Here is a 14,853-nt window from a genome sequence, read left to right on the forward strand (position 1 = left end):
TATGTGCTCCGTAATGTAAAAGTAGTATGCATCATCATTTATAAAGGATTTCACCTAAAAAAAAAACACCTACTGAACCAGAATCTAATTTTGCCACTAGCAATAAATACAGAGATGGAGGAACACATCAGCAAAATCCATAATATGGGACATTTTATTGAAAAAAAAAAAAAAAAGACTTTTTCTCCAATAAATCAGTGGCATAAAAAAAAATAACAGGCAAGGACTCTTTGAGAATTAAAAAAGACTTAACTGACATAATTGGAAAAAAAAAAACTTACAGTAAATATTTGTAGCCTAGGGTTAACAGGTCACTAAGAGTATCTTGGATGCCTGGCCAGGAATCCACAAATGCTCTGAAACAGTAAACAAACAGGTGCATGCCCGGGCGCGGTGGCTCACGCCTGTAATCCCAGGCTGAGGCGGGAGGATCACGAGGTCAGGAGATTGAGACCATCCTGGCTAACGTGGTGAAACCCCGTCTCTACTAAAAATACAAAAAATTAGCCGGGCATGGTGGCGGGTGCCTATAGTCCCAGCTACTAAGGAGGCTGAGGCAGGAGAACGGCGTGAACCCGGGAGGCGGAGCTTGCAGTGAGCTTGCAGTGAGCCGAGATCACGCCACTGCACTCCAGCCTGGGCGACAGAGCAAGACTCCATTTCAAAAACAAAAACAAAACAAAACAAAAAAACAAAGAAAACAAACAACAACAACAAAAAAACAAACTGGTGCATATATGGGGATCATATATTACCTTCAGATTCTCAAAAGGCATGTAACGGAAACAAGATCATCAATTCCAGTAGTGTAGTGAACCCTTTTCGTGAAGATTTTCCATAGTGATTTAGAACTACCGAAGTTAACTTTCATTTAATCCACAAATACCAGTAATATTGATAGAAATGAAGATAAAACTTCTTGCTTTCTGGTTACATTTTTGAAGAGTGTTTATTTACCTTCAGGACAGTTAATAGCTTTCCACAAAATCTGAAGTTGCTGGACTGTGGGTTTTTCTGAAGAACTATTACATATTAGAGACAGTATCTTCTCAAGAAGTATCAAGTCATCCTCAGTTAACTTCTTCTCTTCAGGTGCAGTTCCATTAAGTTCCTTCAGTTTACCTAGAACCCAAAACCAAACTTTCAAAATTCTCTAACTGTAATTGGCCAGATAATATATAAATGCCAAGACTTTCAATAAAAGTACTCTAGTGTACACCATGGGGAGTTAAGACTTTACTCAGCAATTATCAAACACCATAAAGTAAGGATAAGGCTTATGAGCTTTGTCTTTTTTTTTTTTTTTTTTGAGATGGAGTCCTGCTCAGTCGCCCAGGCTGGAGTGCAGTGGCGCCATCTTGGCTCACTGCAAGCTCGCCCCCCAGGTTCAAGCAATTCTCCTGCCTCAGCCTCCTGAGTAGCTGGGACTATAGGCGCCTGCCACCATGCCTGGCTAATTTTTTGTGTTTTTAGTAGAGACGGGGTTTCACCACATTAGCCAGGATGGTCTCAATCTCCTGACCTCGTGGTCCACCCTCCTTAGCCTCCCGAAGTGCTGTGATTACAGGTGTGAGCCACCACGCCTGGCCTTATTATTATTATTTTGAGATGGAGTCTCACTCTGTTGCCCAGGCTGGAGTGCAGTGGCATGATCTCGGCTCACTGCAACCTCCGCCATCAGGATTTTCAAGCGATTCTCCTGCCTCAGCCTCCCGAGTAGCTGGAACTACCAGCATGCACCACCACACCAGCTAATTTTTGTATTTTTAGTAGAGATGGGGTTTCACCATGTTGGCCAGGCTGACCAACATGGTGAAAAACTCCTGACCTCAAGTGACCCACCTGCCTTGAACTCCCAAAGTGCTGGCATTACAGGCATGAGCCACCACGTCCGGCCTCCATTTTGGATGACTTTCAAAGCAGTATCATGTGTAATATATATTCAAGTGTAAGTCAATAACCTAGTTTCTCCATGAGAAAATTTATAACAACTTTTTAGCCAATTTATGTCAAATTCTACAGCTGTCAATGAAATAGTCAAAGAGTTAAATGCCTACTGATAACATTTAATTTATGACTTAGTTCCATATGCATATTTGATGTCACATTATTTTAAAAATTTATTTAATGGACATACTGCCCTTTCTTCCCATGTTCTCATTTCATGAAACAATTTCCTTCAAATCCTTCGCATGTATCTTTAGTATCAGTATCCTTTGTATCATGACTTTGAGTTACTGTGTTTCTTTAAAAATCTTTATCTCAAGAATAAAAAAGTCCAAATTCCGATAATAAGGAAAATTATCCAAATTTACACCATTGAAATCAATTATAAATGGAAACTAGGGCCTGTTTCACTAATCTCAGGTATTAACAGCTTTAACTCTAATAAATAAAAATCAAGTTCATTAAGGAATGCAAAAGTCTAAATACCTGTTAGATTTTCACAAGTTTTTTTAAAAAAAATCTAAAAGTGTGCATATACTACATTATTCAAAATAAAGCAATTAAGAAAATATTAATGAGTGATTTTTATAAATTTTTACAATACTGACTCTGCCTTATACTCTGGTAAGTATGTTACGTTATGTTAACCCAATTAATTCTCATCATAATCTTTGTGGCAAACAAAGCTAATAAGTACTCTTAGTCCAAGACAACAACAACAACAAAACACTGTATTTTGTTTTGAGGAACACAAACAGAAAAAGCAATCAAAGTCACTAAAGCAGATTAATTTCTTTTTTTTTTTTTTTCTCCTTGAGATGGAGTCTTGCTCTGTTGCCCAGGCTGGAGTGCAGTGGCGCGATCTCGGGCTCACTGCAACTCCTCCACCTCCCAGGTTCAAGTGATTCTCGTGCCTCAGCCTCCAGAGTAGCTGGGATTACAGGCGCCCACCACCACGCCCGGCTAATTTTTGTATTTTTAGTAGAAACGGGGTTTCACCATGTTAGCCAGGCTAGTCTCGAACTCCTGACCTTAGGCAGTCCGCCCGCCTTGGCCTCCCAAAGTGCTGGGATTACAGGCATGAGTCACTGTACCAGGCCAGCAGATTCATTTCTAATGGGCAATTTAAAATGAACTTGTATTATTTCTGAGGGCCACTAATCTTTTAAAGATAAGATCTTAATTTTTCAAATGCTTTACTCATTCATATTCATTAATTTTTTTTGAAAACATTAAGAGCCTGGGTGGGTAGAATTTACATTTTCCACCTTTAATTTTTTTTATTACAGTCATCATAAATTACTTACTTTATGTTTGTGTAAGACTTCTTAGAAAGTATTATGGATCCTTTACCAGACTGTATATTTGTGGTGGACACAGTTGTTTAATACTGCAATAGAAATATCTATTCATATTAAGTACCCAATTCCTGACACATGTTGGCAAGAGAAACAACCTTGATGACATCTCAAACAGTCTGTGAATATGTGAATAAATTAATTAAAGAAACTTACCTAATATTTGTGTAGGGTTTGCTTGGTCAAATGTGACAGCCTCTTTTTTAGGGAAATAAATATTCATTGTTTTAGATGCAGCTGATCGGTAGGCACTATTCCCTATTTAAAGAATAGAAGATGATGATAATCACAAGGAGTGATCAAAAATGAGATTTTTCTAACTATATGACTTAGTTTTCACAATTATTGAGATATGCAACTATTCAGTGCGTGCAATAAACAAGGAACCTCAAGGGGAAAAATATCCAAAATATTTTGTATAATTTATATTTATTGATATAATATTTTTTGGTTTTGGGAATGGAAGCTTAAATGTAGAACAAGATCATCTCACACTTTTTACTTCTTTTTTTTCTTTCTGAGACAGGGTGCAGTGGTGCAATCACAGCTCACTACAGCCTCGACCTCCTGGGCTCAAGCAATCCTCCCACCTCAGCCTCCGAAAGTGCTGGGATTACAGGTGTGAGCCACCGAGCCTGGTCTAAGATTAAATCTAAATTATAAATTTTAAAAAAGTCAAAGAATACCATATGATTATATGAAACTTTCCATTTTCATCTTCTCTAAGGCATGCTGATCTCTCCTTTTATGTCTTTTACTGCTTATTCCAAAGGATGTAGTAGGTATTATCATTTTCTCTAATCTTTTTCTGCATCATCTTTATAAATCCCCAAGTTGTAAATCCCTGAAGGACAGGAGTCCTAGTCTTTCTTTTTTTTTTAAGTATTTTATTAAGTTCCAGGGTACATGTGCAGGATGTGCAAGTTTGTTACATAGGTAAATGGATGCCATGGTGGTTTGCTGAGGAGTCCTAGCCCTTTTGTTTTTTTGAGACAGAGTCACGCTCTGTTGCCCAGGCTGGAGTACAGTGGCGTAATCTCGGCTCACTGCAATCTCCACCTCCTGAGTTCAAGCAATTCTCCTGCCTCAGCCTCCAGAATAGTTGGGATTACAGGCATGAGCTACCACGCCCGGCTAATTTTTGTATTTTTAGTAGAGACAGGGTTTCACCACATTGGCCAGGCTGGTCTCGAACTCCTGACCTCGTCATCCACCTGCCTTGGCCTCCCAAAGTGCTGGGATTACAGGCATAAGCCACCATGCCCAGCCTAATTTTTGCATTGTTTTAGTACAGAAGGGGTTTCACCATGTTGGTTGGGCTGGTCTCGAACTCCTGACTCAGGTGATCCGCTCACCTCAGCCTCTCAAAGTGCTGAGATTACAGGCGTGAGCCACCAGGCCCGTCTGAGTCCTAGTCTTTTATACTTTTTTTTACATCTTAAGTCTCTATTATATTAACAGAAACTCAGTATCTGATCATGAACAAACTGGCAAATGATGAAAATTCAGCAATATTCAATAAATAAAGTGACCTTCAACTAAAGTATAATTTAAATCTAATTTACATCTCACATTTCAAATCTTAATCAATTTAAACCCTATTTTGTTCAAATGTACAGTTAAGATATTGTGCAAAAATATGAATAAAAGATTTATCTTAATATTCTGATTACATTAGGAATAGAAAGGGATGAAGGTAGATAAAGACGAAACACTTAGTGAGATTGGTGTACAAAATTAATTGTTTATAAACAATAAATTTTTCTTGACATAAAAATGAGCCATACACACATTGCCTGCATTCTTGGTCATTACAGTCTAGGAGCTGTGTTAAGAATGCAAATATTAATCAAATATCATCCAAATAAGTATAATGAAAAGTTCCCTGATGGAAAAGTACAGGATGCAATGAAAGATAAGAGTAGGCGATCTAGCAAGGACACATGTGGGTGTTCAGAAAAGTTTCACTGAGCTTATCTAATAAATACTGTATTACAAAATTAAATAAAAAAGAAAAGGGAGAAAAACAGCCAATAATTTGTGGTCTAAATGACAAGGCAAAGGGCAATGCATAAGTATGCCAAAAGAAAACAGTGAGTTCAAAGCTCTGGAGGTAGAAAATACTATTACATGCTCAAGAAACTGACACCAGCCAGTATGGCTGGACAGAAGAAAGGCAATGAGGAATGTGGGGCAAGGCAAAAGAAAAATATTCACTGGGAAGCCACTGAAGAGTTTTTTAATCAAGGGAGGTGCATAAACAGAGTAAACAATAAAAAGATCACTGTCTGCAATATGGATCATCGAGAGACCAATTTGGAAGTTATTTCATTATTCCAGGCGAGAGGTGACATTAGCTTGTACTAAGGTATATAAAGCTTCAATATACACACCATGCTGTTAAAAACTAACTTCTGGAAAATGGGAGGGAGCACTGTTAACCTTTGTTAACAAGTACAGCTAACAATTACTAAGCATTAATTTGGTAAAAAGTTATTTACATAAATTTTATAATTTTAAGTTCTTAATTCTAGGAAGTAGATATGACCTCAACTTTGCAAATGAGAAAAACAAAAGCACAGACACATCAAATAAATTGTTCAAGGTCAAGCAGATAAAAAGTAGTAGAGCTGAGATTTGAATTTAGATTCTCACTCCAGAATCCATAATCTTAATTACAGGTACTATGTTATACTTCAGTATTGCTAACCAATGTTACTTTTGCAATTAAAAAATAGCTTACAAAATCACATGCCAAGTGATGGACATGGTAGTGTGCGCATGTAAACCCAACTACTCAGGAGGCTGAGGTGGGAGGATCATGTGAGCCCAGGAGTTTGAGCCCAGCCCAGGCAACAAAACAAGATCCCATCTCAAAAGTAATAAAAAATAAAAACACATGCTAGGTTAGTTATTGAGTGGTAGGTTTATGGGTGTTTATTTTAATGCTGAATAACATATATGTTACTCAATTTCTCTCATATAAATTACAAAGAACATAAAAATTAACTAGAAAAAAATATATGCCAAGATATCTGTCAAACCTGAAAGAGATGAACCACAAATTTAGCTCTGTGTTTTACTGGCAGCCAATACAGAGGAAAACATGCCAGCACATATTCAATGAACAAGTGAGGTATGTCAGACTGTAGACTAGGTAACTAAGGATTAAAAAAAAATTAGTTGCTCAGAAGAACTATAGCTATTCCAGGCATAAATCACAGAAGCAAATTCTTTCCTGAGTCTTCTTAAAGAGAACAATGTATAATCCAGTGAATAACATTCTCAACACATTAAGAATGAAGAGATGAGAATAAACACAGACTTTGTAAGAGTAGTGAGGAAAGCAGATTTACGACAGTAAAACAGTAGTTTCCGATCCTAGATGCATATTAGAATCACATTGGAAGATTATAAAACTACCCTTTGCCAAGCCCCCATCTCAGAGCAGAATTAGACCAAGTAAGCATCTCTGGGGATAAGGCTGAAGTACGTTTGCAAAGCTCCCCAGATGATTCTAAAATGTAGTAATCAGACAATTCTGAGAAAACTCAAAAAGCCAGACAAGTTTGGTCTCGATTTACTATATAAAAAGTTCTCAAGCAAGAAAATGACACAAATTTTCTTACTCTTTTTATTAAAGTTCCAACGAATTTTTAAAATCTAAAAAAAAGAAAAAGAAATAAAAAGTATGTACCTGTAAATGGATCAACTCCGGCCATGGTAGTTCCCATACTTGCAGAACCTGGTACATAACGACCAGCACCTACAATACAATAATACTCCTAGTAAGCAAAGGTGACTGTAAATTATAAAGTTCAAACTGCTCCTTCGCTTATTTCCAGTATTAAGCACACTTCACAATGGCGTCATTATATACATAATAAATATGCCACAAATTTAATACAGAAAAGTGCTTAGAACAGTGCCTGAGCATATCATAAGTGTTAGCTACAAAGTAAACATTACATGCCTTATATATTATAATTGTAGAAGTTTAGTAAACTACAAAAATGTAAGTGGATTGGAGAGAAATAAAAGTTTCCAGAATAAAATGTGAACACTATTCTATTGAAGTAAAGGGGTGGGACTAACTAGCACATAAGACAATTGGAAAAGACTCAGGTAAGAGTTAGAGATACTATGACAACAGCCCAGTCACATTTTATTATAGATAATACTTGTGGCTGTCCTATTGAAAATAGAAAGAAGGAAACTTAAAGAGTAAGTATAGAGAGAGAATCAGCAGGATTTGGAGATATTCAGAATAATGGATCAGCCTTTATGGGAAGAAGAAAAATGAGCTACTGTTCTAGCCTCTCTCAATTTATACTCTAGGAGTTGTTACAACCGGCGCAAAACATACAGAAATGCCAAAGAAAATTAAAAAAGCAAAACCAAAAAAAAAAAAGTAAGATTAATTAAAATAATGAGAAACACAGAATAAATGGATTTGTTGAAATTTAACCATATGCCAGTTAATCATCTTCTATGCATATATTCATTAAAGTATTATATAGATACCATTATAATTCACAATATTTTAGAAGCAGAAGGTTGAATAACTTGCCCAAGGCATTAAGCTGTTAAAAGGTAAAGTACACTCTCACACTTTTCTAAATATGGTTTTCTGACCACCTGAATGAATCACAGATTCAATACACAGATTCCCAGAGTCCACCCATAACCCAGGGTTACTCCAAACTGGCTCCACTTTAGAAACACTTGGGGAACTTTAAAAAATAAGATCGCTGGGCATGGTGGCTCACGCCTGTAAACCCAGCACTTTGGGAGGCTGAGGCGGGTGGATCACCTGAGGTCAGGAGTTCGAGACCAGCCTGACCAACATGGATAAACCCTGTCTCTACTAAAAATACAAAATTAGCTGGGCATGGTGGCACATGCCTGTAATCCTGGCTACTCGGGAGGCTGAGGCAGGAGAATTGCTTGAGCATGGGAGGCAGAGTTTGTGGTGAGCTGAGATCGCACCATTGCACTCCAGCCTGGGCAAGAAGAACAAAACTCTGACTCGAAAAAAAAAAAAATCTAAGATCAAACTACCACCAAGATCATTTATTTAATTAGAATCCTTGGGTGAGAGATCAGAGCATGAATAATTTTAGTTTTAACCTCCTCATTAATCTAGTGAATCAGAATCTCTTGGCCATAGAACCCTGGGATAAGTAATTTAAACAAGCTTCCCAGATCATTCTAATAAACATTAGCAGTTTAAGGACTGCATAAATTAATAAGGAAAAGAAAGAAGAATTAAGACTGACTTTAAGTTGTAGCCAGATAGGGAAATCTTTTGGCCCCAGTGCCACTGACAAAGTTGGGAAAACATCATCATCAACAACAACTAATACATACCGTGGCTTAAATATACTCCAGGCATTTTGCTTAACACTTACACATATTATGCTATTTTATTTTCATACCTCAATATGGTAGATGCTGTTATATATTTATACAAAAGTGTATTCAATTATCCTGATACCCTAATTCTCTTGGACATTGTGTATGCTATCTTGCATATCTACATAATTACTGCATCTTCTGAGTTACTGACATTATGGAACAGTGAGATATGCTCTGGTTATAATGGCCCCAGGAGTTTTCTTGATTTTGCTGGTATTAGTTGAAGCTTGATATGTTCTTTCTGTTCCAGAAAAAAAGCCGCCAAAGTGATTTGGATTCTCACTTGGTATTAAGTTTCAGGGCATCACTGTTTCTGAACTGCTGATAGAGAGAAAGCCATCTTATCTACTCTTCAGATCCTTACTACCATTTGAAATCACATTATGTTATCAAAGACTTCCTTAACAGCCACTGTGCCATAACAGCATTTAGTGTGATAGTTAATTATTTTCATTTACTTGTTATCAATGCACATGGTACAACCATTTCCATCTGGGCCATCAATAAATTCACAGGAAAAAGGAAGCTCACGGACAGCAATCCACAACTTCATGATGCTGACCTAACGTTGTATGTTTGTCCAATCTCTATGACTTAGAGAGGACTGTAGGTTGTCATTTTTATAGCTCACAGTACCAGTCTGCAAGGCCAGTGGATACCTAAACGCTATGATCTCTTCCCAAACTGAGTATACTGTCGAGGAACTCTGTCTGAAGATCCAACAACAGCATTATACAAGATATCAAAAGCCATTCTGAAAATAGAGACTTCTTCAGCTGCCTTAAAGTCCAACTCTGGCACTTTTTCCAGTAGTGTTGATGCTGAGGCATGCATACCTTGGTAAATAAATTCATTTTGAAGAGATACACCAACACTTCAAGGGCTTCAAGAAGGACATTAATAACTTAGATTAGGAAGACTACTCCTGGGTAGTTGGGTGGAATGTCTCCTTCCATGTTAAGTCAAAATATGCCTGGGGAGACTTCTTGATTGTACTGCTCCATCCAATATCAGGGCTCACATGGCTCCTTCTCTGCTCGTGATTGGTAGCATCTCGCCAGTGATAGCACTCATGCTGTGTCTTGGTTGGTGGGTTCCCCTATTATCTAATTTCACAGATAAAAAAAATAGGCTCAGACAGGTTAGGTAACTTGCCAACTTCTCATAGCAAGTAAGTGGTAGAGCCCAATTTTGAACCAAGGTTTGTCTGACTCTAAAACCTATATTCTTAACTATACTGCTCTCCTGGTGGGAAGGACCCCTGGAGAAAACAATGAATTCTAATAATATGCTATTTAAAAGTCACGAGGGAATCTACACAACCACTCCAGGAAAAAGCAAAAATCAGAAGTTAAAGAAAAGGAAATCCATCAAAATTGGAAATGCAGATAAGGGAATTACCAATTACTGGATGACATCTCCAAGATGTAAAGCCATGTGATGCAAGATGCTATACATTTAGTGAAGAAAGATACATGAATCAAAACTACATCCCACCTGTAAAAGGATCTGCTGTGGGTAGTGTGTTAGAAGATCCCGAAGAGCCCGGAACATACCGACCACCACCTGTGCATGCAAAATAAAGAAAAGGCAGAAGTGCACCAAAGTTCTGAATTTTTCAAACAGCACAATGCTTGTTTTAGAAGAACCTACATTTGGAGAAAAACAGAAGAGCAAAACTTTCACATGATAGAATGACAGAAACTATAGTCAGAAGTCTTATAACTGGGAAAAAACTGAAATTTTAATGATTCTCCAAGTTTTGTTTTCTTAACTTTAATGCTTTATTATACCTTAGCCCCAGCACTTAAATATTAAAACTTAATTCAAATATCAAAAGAGAATTGCAGGTAATATCTGACCTAAATATATAAACATACAATCAATTCCTGTCCCTGTTCCTATACAAATTCACAAGAGTTCCTGCTGTTGTTATTGTTATCAAAACCACAGGCACTAAATGTTAATCATTTAGAGCTCTAGGTTCATTAATTCATGTGTCAAACAATGGACTCAGGGCTGGGGATCCAGAAGGGAACAAAATTGCTTATATCCACTGAAGCTTACAACCTACTGGAGAAGAGAATTAGAAAAGGGATGAAAACTACAAAGGAAAGAGACTTCCATTTATACATTTACGAATGTGTGGCGTATGTGCCTATGTTTTGTTAGTACCTCTAGGGAAATAATCAGGTTGTCCACAAAAAAAACAAAAAACAAAAAACAAAAAACAGTAAGGATGCTGAAAAAGTTAAGAGTCTCAGAAGGGCAAAACAAGCCAAGTGCTTCCTAGATTTCCAGACAAAGTCAGCTGCTTTAATTCCTTTCCTGTATCCCACATGCAAAATAGCTTACACAGTACTACAATCTGTGTTCACTCTTGAACTACAGTCTGAAATTCCAACAACAAAAATATCCACATACTAAACAATTATTTTCTTTTTAAGTGCAAGTATTTGGAGGATCAGATCATCTGTAATTCAGTAGTAAGTTACTTTGATAATTTTTTTTAAAATTTTTTGATTTTTTTCAGACGGAATCTTGCACTATCGCCCAGGTTGGAGTGCAATGGTGCGATCTTGGCTCGCTGCCACCTCTGCCTCCCAGGTTCACGTGATTCTCCTGCCTCAGTTTTCCAAGGAGCTGGGATTACAGGCGCACATCCATCACACCTGGCTAATTTTTTGTATTTTTTTTTTTTTTTTTTTTTAGTAGAGACAGGGTTTCGCTATGTTGGCCAGACTGGTCTTGAACTCCTGACCTTGTGATCTGCCTGCCTTGGCCTCCCAAAGTGCTGGGATTACAGGCGTCAGCCACCACACCTGGCCTGATAATTCTATTTAAATCAACATGCAGGTAACATTAGTTTTATTTTATGAATGGGCAATGAAATTTTGAAGTAGAATGAGGAGATAATTTGGGAATGTGGAGTAGCTGTCAGGGAAGAAAAGGTGGATCTACATAAGGATTTGAGACAGGAATATAATACAAAGTCCTCGTAAAACAAGGAAGAGCACTAGCACCTGAAAAATGTTGAGTCAGAAATGATGAGAGGAAAACATTAACAGTAAAGTGCCTATCTCAAAATGTTATTTAGAGGAGGCATTTTATTTCCTCCTACACCAGTCTCCAGAACTCACGTTAATATTACTAGGATTAGATTCCACTTCCTAGGGGCCAGAATTTGGACTAGTACCATTAGGATTACAATTTACAGACTGGTATGAGCACCTAACTGCATTTATAACATGAGATACGATGTATACGATGTTACAAACAATTAACTTAAAATGAACGTGTAGAATACACATCACATATAAACTAAAACTACCCATAGGGTTCACTTTTAGATTTGATGCATGACTGACCAATTTAGCCTCATGTGAAAAAAAGATTTACTAAATTTTGCCAAAATATAATTTTTTAAAAGAAACACTATATAAAAGAACTTACAAGTTTATTTTTGTTTCAAATAACTGAAATTCCATTATAGTATGATTGTATTTTTGAAAGACAACAATTTACTATTATTTCTGTAAAATACAGAATTACTTCATCATTTGAGGCTTAAACATATGAATGTGAAGTAAAACCCTGCTGTAGATATTGGTATTTATTGAAAAAGCTAATCACATGACTATTTGAAAACATCAAAAAAATCAATCAACACTAATGGAACTACATAAGACTCAATATAAACACTAACTTACCTGTAAATGGATCTGAAAAGCTGGGATTCCCAAGTCCCAACATTTGACCTTTTGTGTTATCAATAATAAATTTAGCTACTTGATCCAGAAACATAGGATTCAAATCATTCTTCTGTAAGAAGTTGTATGCAGTTAACCAAGGGTCATCACTGGTATTATATGGCAATTTATATGATGGTCCACCTTCATTGACATCAATTGAGAAAACATAATCAAATTCCTAAAGTAGGAATATAAAAAGGAGATACATGCTTATTATCTGTTCACATATATTAATGACATATACAACATAACACAGATGTGTTCTTTAATAATTACAGTACTTAAACTTTCTCCAAAGTGCAGTGCTAAAATCTTCGTTTTTGGCAGATAAAGATTAACAGCCCCCATCTGCATGTGATGCAAAATTAGTATTTCATTAGGGGATGGGGGTGAGGATGAAGGATGGATTACAACTACATATTAACTCTAGAGCCAAAGCAGAGTTTCCAACTGGTTTGATATCAAGATCAAAATTATCAGCTGTTACTGTGCCCTACTCACCAAAACGTGCTGGCATTTTAAGCACTGCCCTGCAGGGTCTCTCATGTCTTGTCAAGTTAAATATAGCCAGGCATGAGGCATTTGATGAAAGGTGGCACAGAAGCTCCCAATCCAAAATGGCTGGGAACAGCTTTTGTATAGAAACTACTACATGACAGACAATTGCTAATTTGTCTCTCAAATGCAGCTCTCACTACATGGAAAGATACTTTTAAAATATCTATTTCAAGACAGGGAAAAAAAAGATTAGTTTCCCACAGTAATGGATTTTTAAATGTCAAAACAAAGGAAATTTTATCACTATGGGGCAAAGGAAACCTTTAATTTGCCTAATATTTAAGACAATAGTAATTAGAAAGTAGAAGTCGACATACTTTCCCTTCATATAAAACTTTTCCAGATGTTTGCTGATTAGCACCAGATGAGCCAACAACATCACCAATTTTTATCCACCTCCCTTCACTAACACTCCACTGATAGGCTTCGACTTTCTCCCCATCTCTGATTAGACGAGTCTGTCCTTCTCTAGTACCTTAAAATAAAAATTTTAAGAATCAAAGGTAGAATGGCAATGTAAAATTGAAAAACATTTAAATAGAAAATTCTTAACATTAAAATTTACACATAAGAGAATATGGATTTTGTTTCAAAATAAAATTGTATCAAATAAAAGATTTAAAAATGTGGCCAAAAGAAAATAACAGTTAAAAGGAAATATTATTAATCAAAGGAAGGTTAACAAAACGTGATTCTACTAGGAAGCAACTGGCCCATCAAAAATAAAACAAGTTTTATTAGTGAATATATCTTCCTAACACATTTCATTCCGTAAATGGCTCTCCATTAATCCAGTGGCTCAAACTGAAAAGTAGAAAAGCCTGATACCTTTCTCTCAACCCCATCGCTCCTTCGGCTACTTCTCAGCACCCCCTTCAGCTACTGCTATCAGCTCATTCTTTAAAATATATCTAGAAAACTGTCTCCTTAATATCTCCATCATCATCCCTTGGTCCAAGCCACCATCATTTCTCAGTTGGGTTGATTCAACGGCCTCTTTCCTGTACTCTTGGCCCCCGACAGTGTATATTCCACCCAGCAACTTCAGGAATTTTTTCAAAAGTTTAAGTAGGTCCTGACACTCTTCTGCTTGAAACCCATCAATGCTTTTCATCTCACTTGGTAAAAGCCTAAACTCTTGAGTAGTGTACAAGACCAAATATAAATTGTCCACACTATCCTACATGACCTTACTTTCTACTATTCCCCCTGTCCCCTCATCTCCCAACTTCAGCCACAGAGCCTTTGTATTAGCTGTTTATTCTGCCTATGATGCTCTTCACACAGATATTGGCAGTATTTGCTCCTTTCCCTCTTTAACAACTTTACACAAATGTCATGTTCTCAACAAGGCCTTCAGTGGCGGAGACAGCTATCCATCCTCCGAAGAATCATGCTCTTCTTCCATTAGATACAGCTGTAGTTGTCTAGCCAGAGACTACATTATCTAGTCCCCTTGCATTGGGCAGTCACATGATGTCACATTACTGAGTAATGGTCAGTGGAATCTGGGTGGATGTGATATATGCCAGTTCTGGCCTAGTCCATCATACTTTAATCTCCCCTCTTACCCCATCTTAATCTGTTTCAATTTGTTATTTTGGTTGACTACAAAAAGAAAATCCAGCCTAACACACGTAGGTAGTTGAAAAAGAGAAGACAAGTCTTTTCAGAAAATGTGGATAGGCCAGAAATACTAGTTTTTTAAACGCTACAGTGTACAATCTGAAACCACATCAATGAATTTTTCATGCTCTATTATACTAAAATCCACTGGTCTATCTTGTACTTTGAATGGATCTTTTACCCATGTCTGAGAT

At 37.0% G+C, this 14,853-nt stretch overlaps 1 protein-coding gene across 5 annotated transcripts in view; it reads right to left on the reverse strand.

Annotated features, from left to right (window-relative positions):
- Window positions 1-14,853, reverse strand: part of PLAA (phospholipase A2 activating protein) — a 43,871-nt gene that overhangs the window by 3,505 nt on the left and 25,513 nt on the right. Inside the window, exons 8-13 of one of the 5 annotated variants that reach the window (NM_001031689.3) lie at window positions 13,351-13,508; window positions 12,434-12,653; window positions 10,221-10,289; window positions 7,003-7,071; window positions 3,462-3,563; window positions 958-1,122 (exon numbers count right to left, since the gene is read on the reverse strand). In NM_001031689.3, coding sequence (NP_001026859.1) covers window positions 958-1,122; window positions 3,462-3,563; window positions 7,003-7,071; window positions 10,221-10,289; window positions 12,434-12,653; window positions 13,351-13,508 — 783 coding nt within the window. Of the gene's footprint in view, window positions 1-957; window positions 1,123-3,461; window positions 3,564-7,002; window positions 7,072-8,699; window positions 9,830-10,220; window positions 10,373-12,433; window positions 12,654-13,350; window positions 13,509-14,853 lie in introns of those variants that run through there. The other 4 variants (NM_001321546.2, XM_047424083.1, XM_011518072.4 and 1 more) reach the window with 4 other exon arrangements.

The sequence above is a fragment of the Homo sapiens genome, chromosome 9, assembly GCF_000001405.40.
Source record: "Homo sapiens chromosome 9, GRCh38.p14 Primary Assembly".
NCBI lineage: Eukaryota > Metazoa > Chordata > Mammalia > Primates > Hominidae > Homo > Homo sapiens.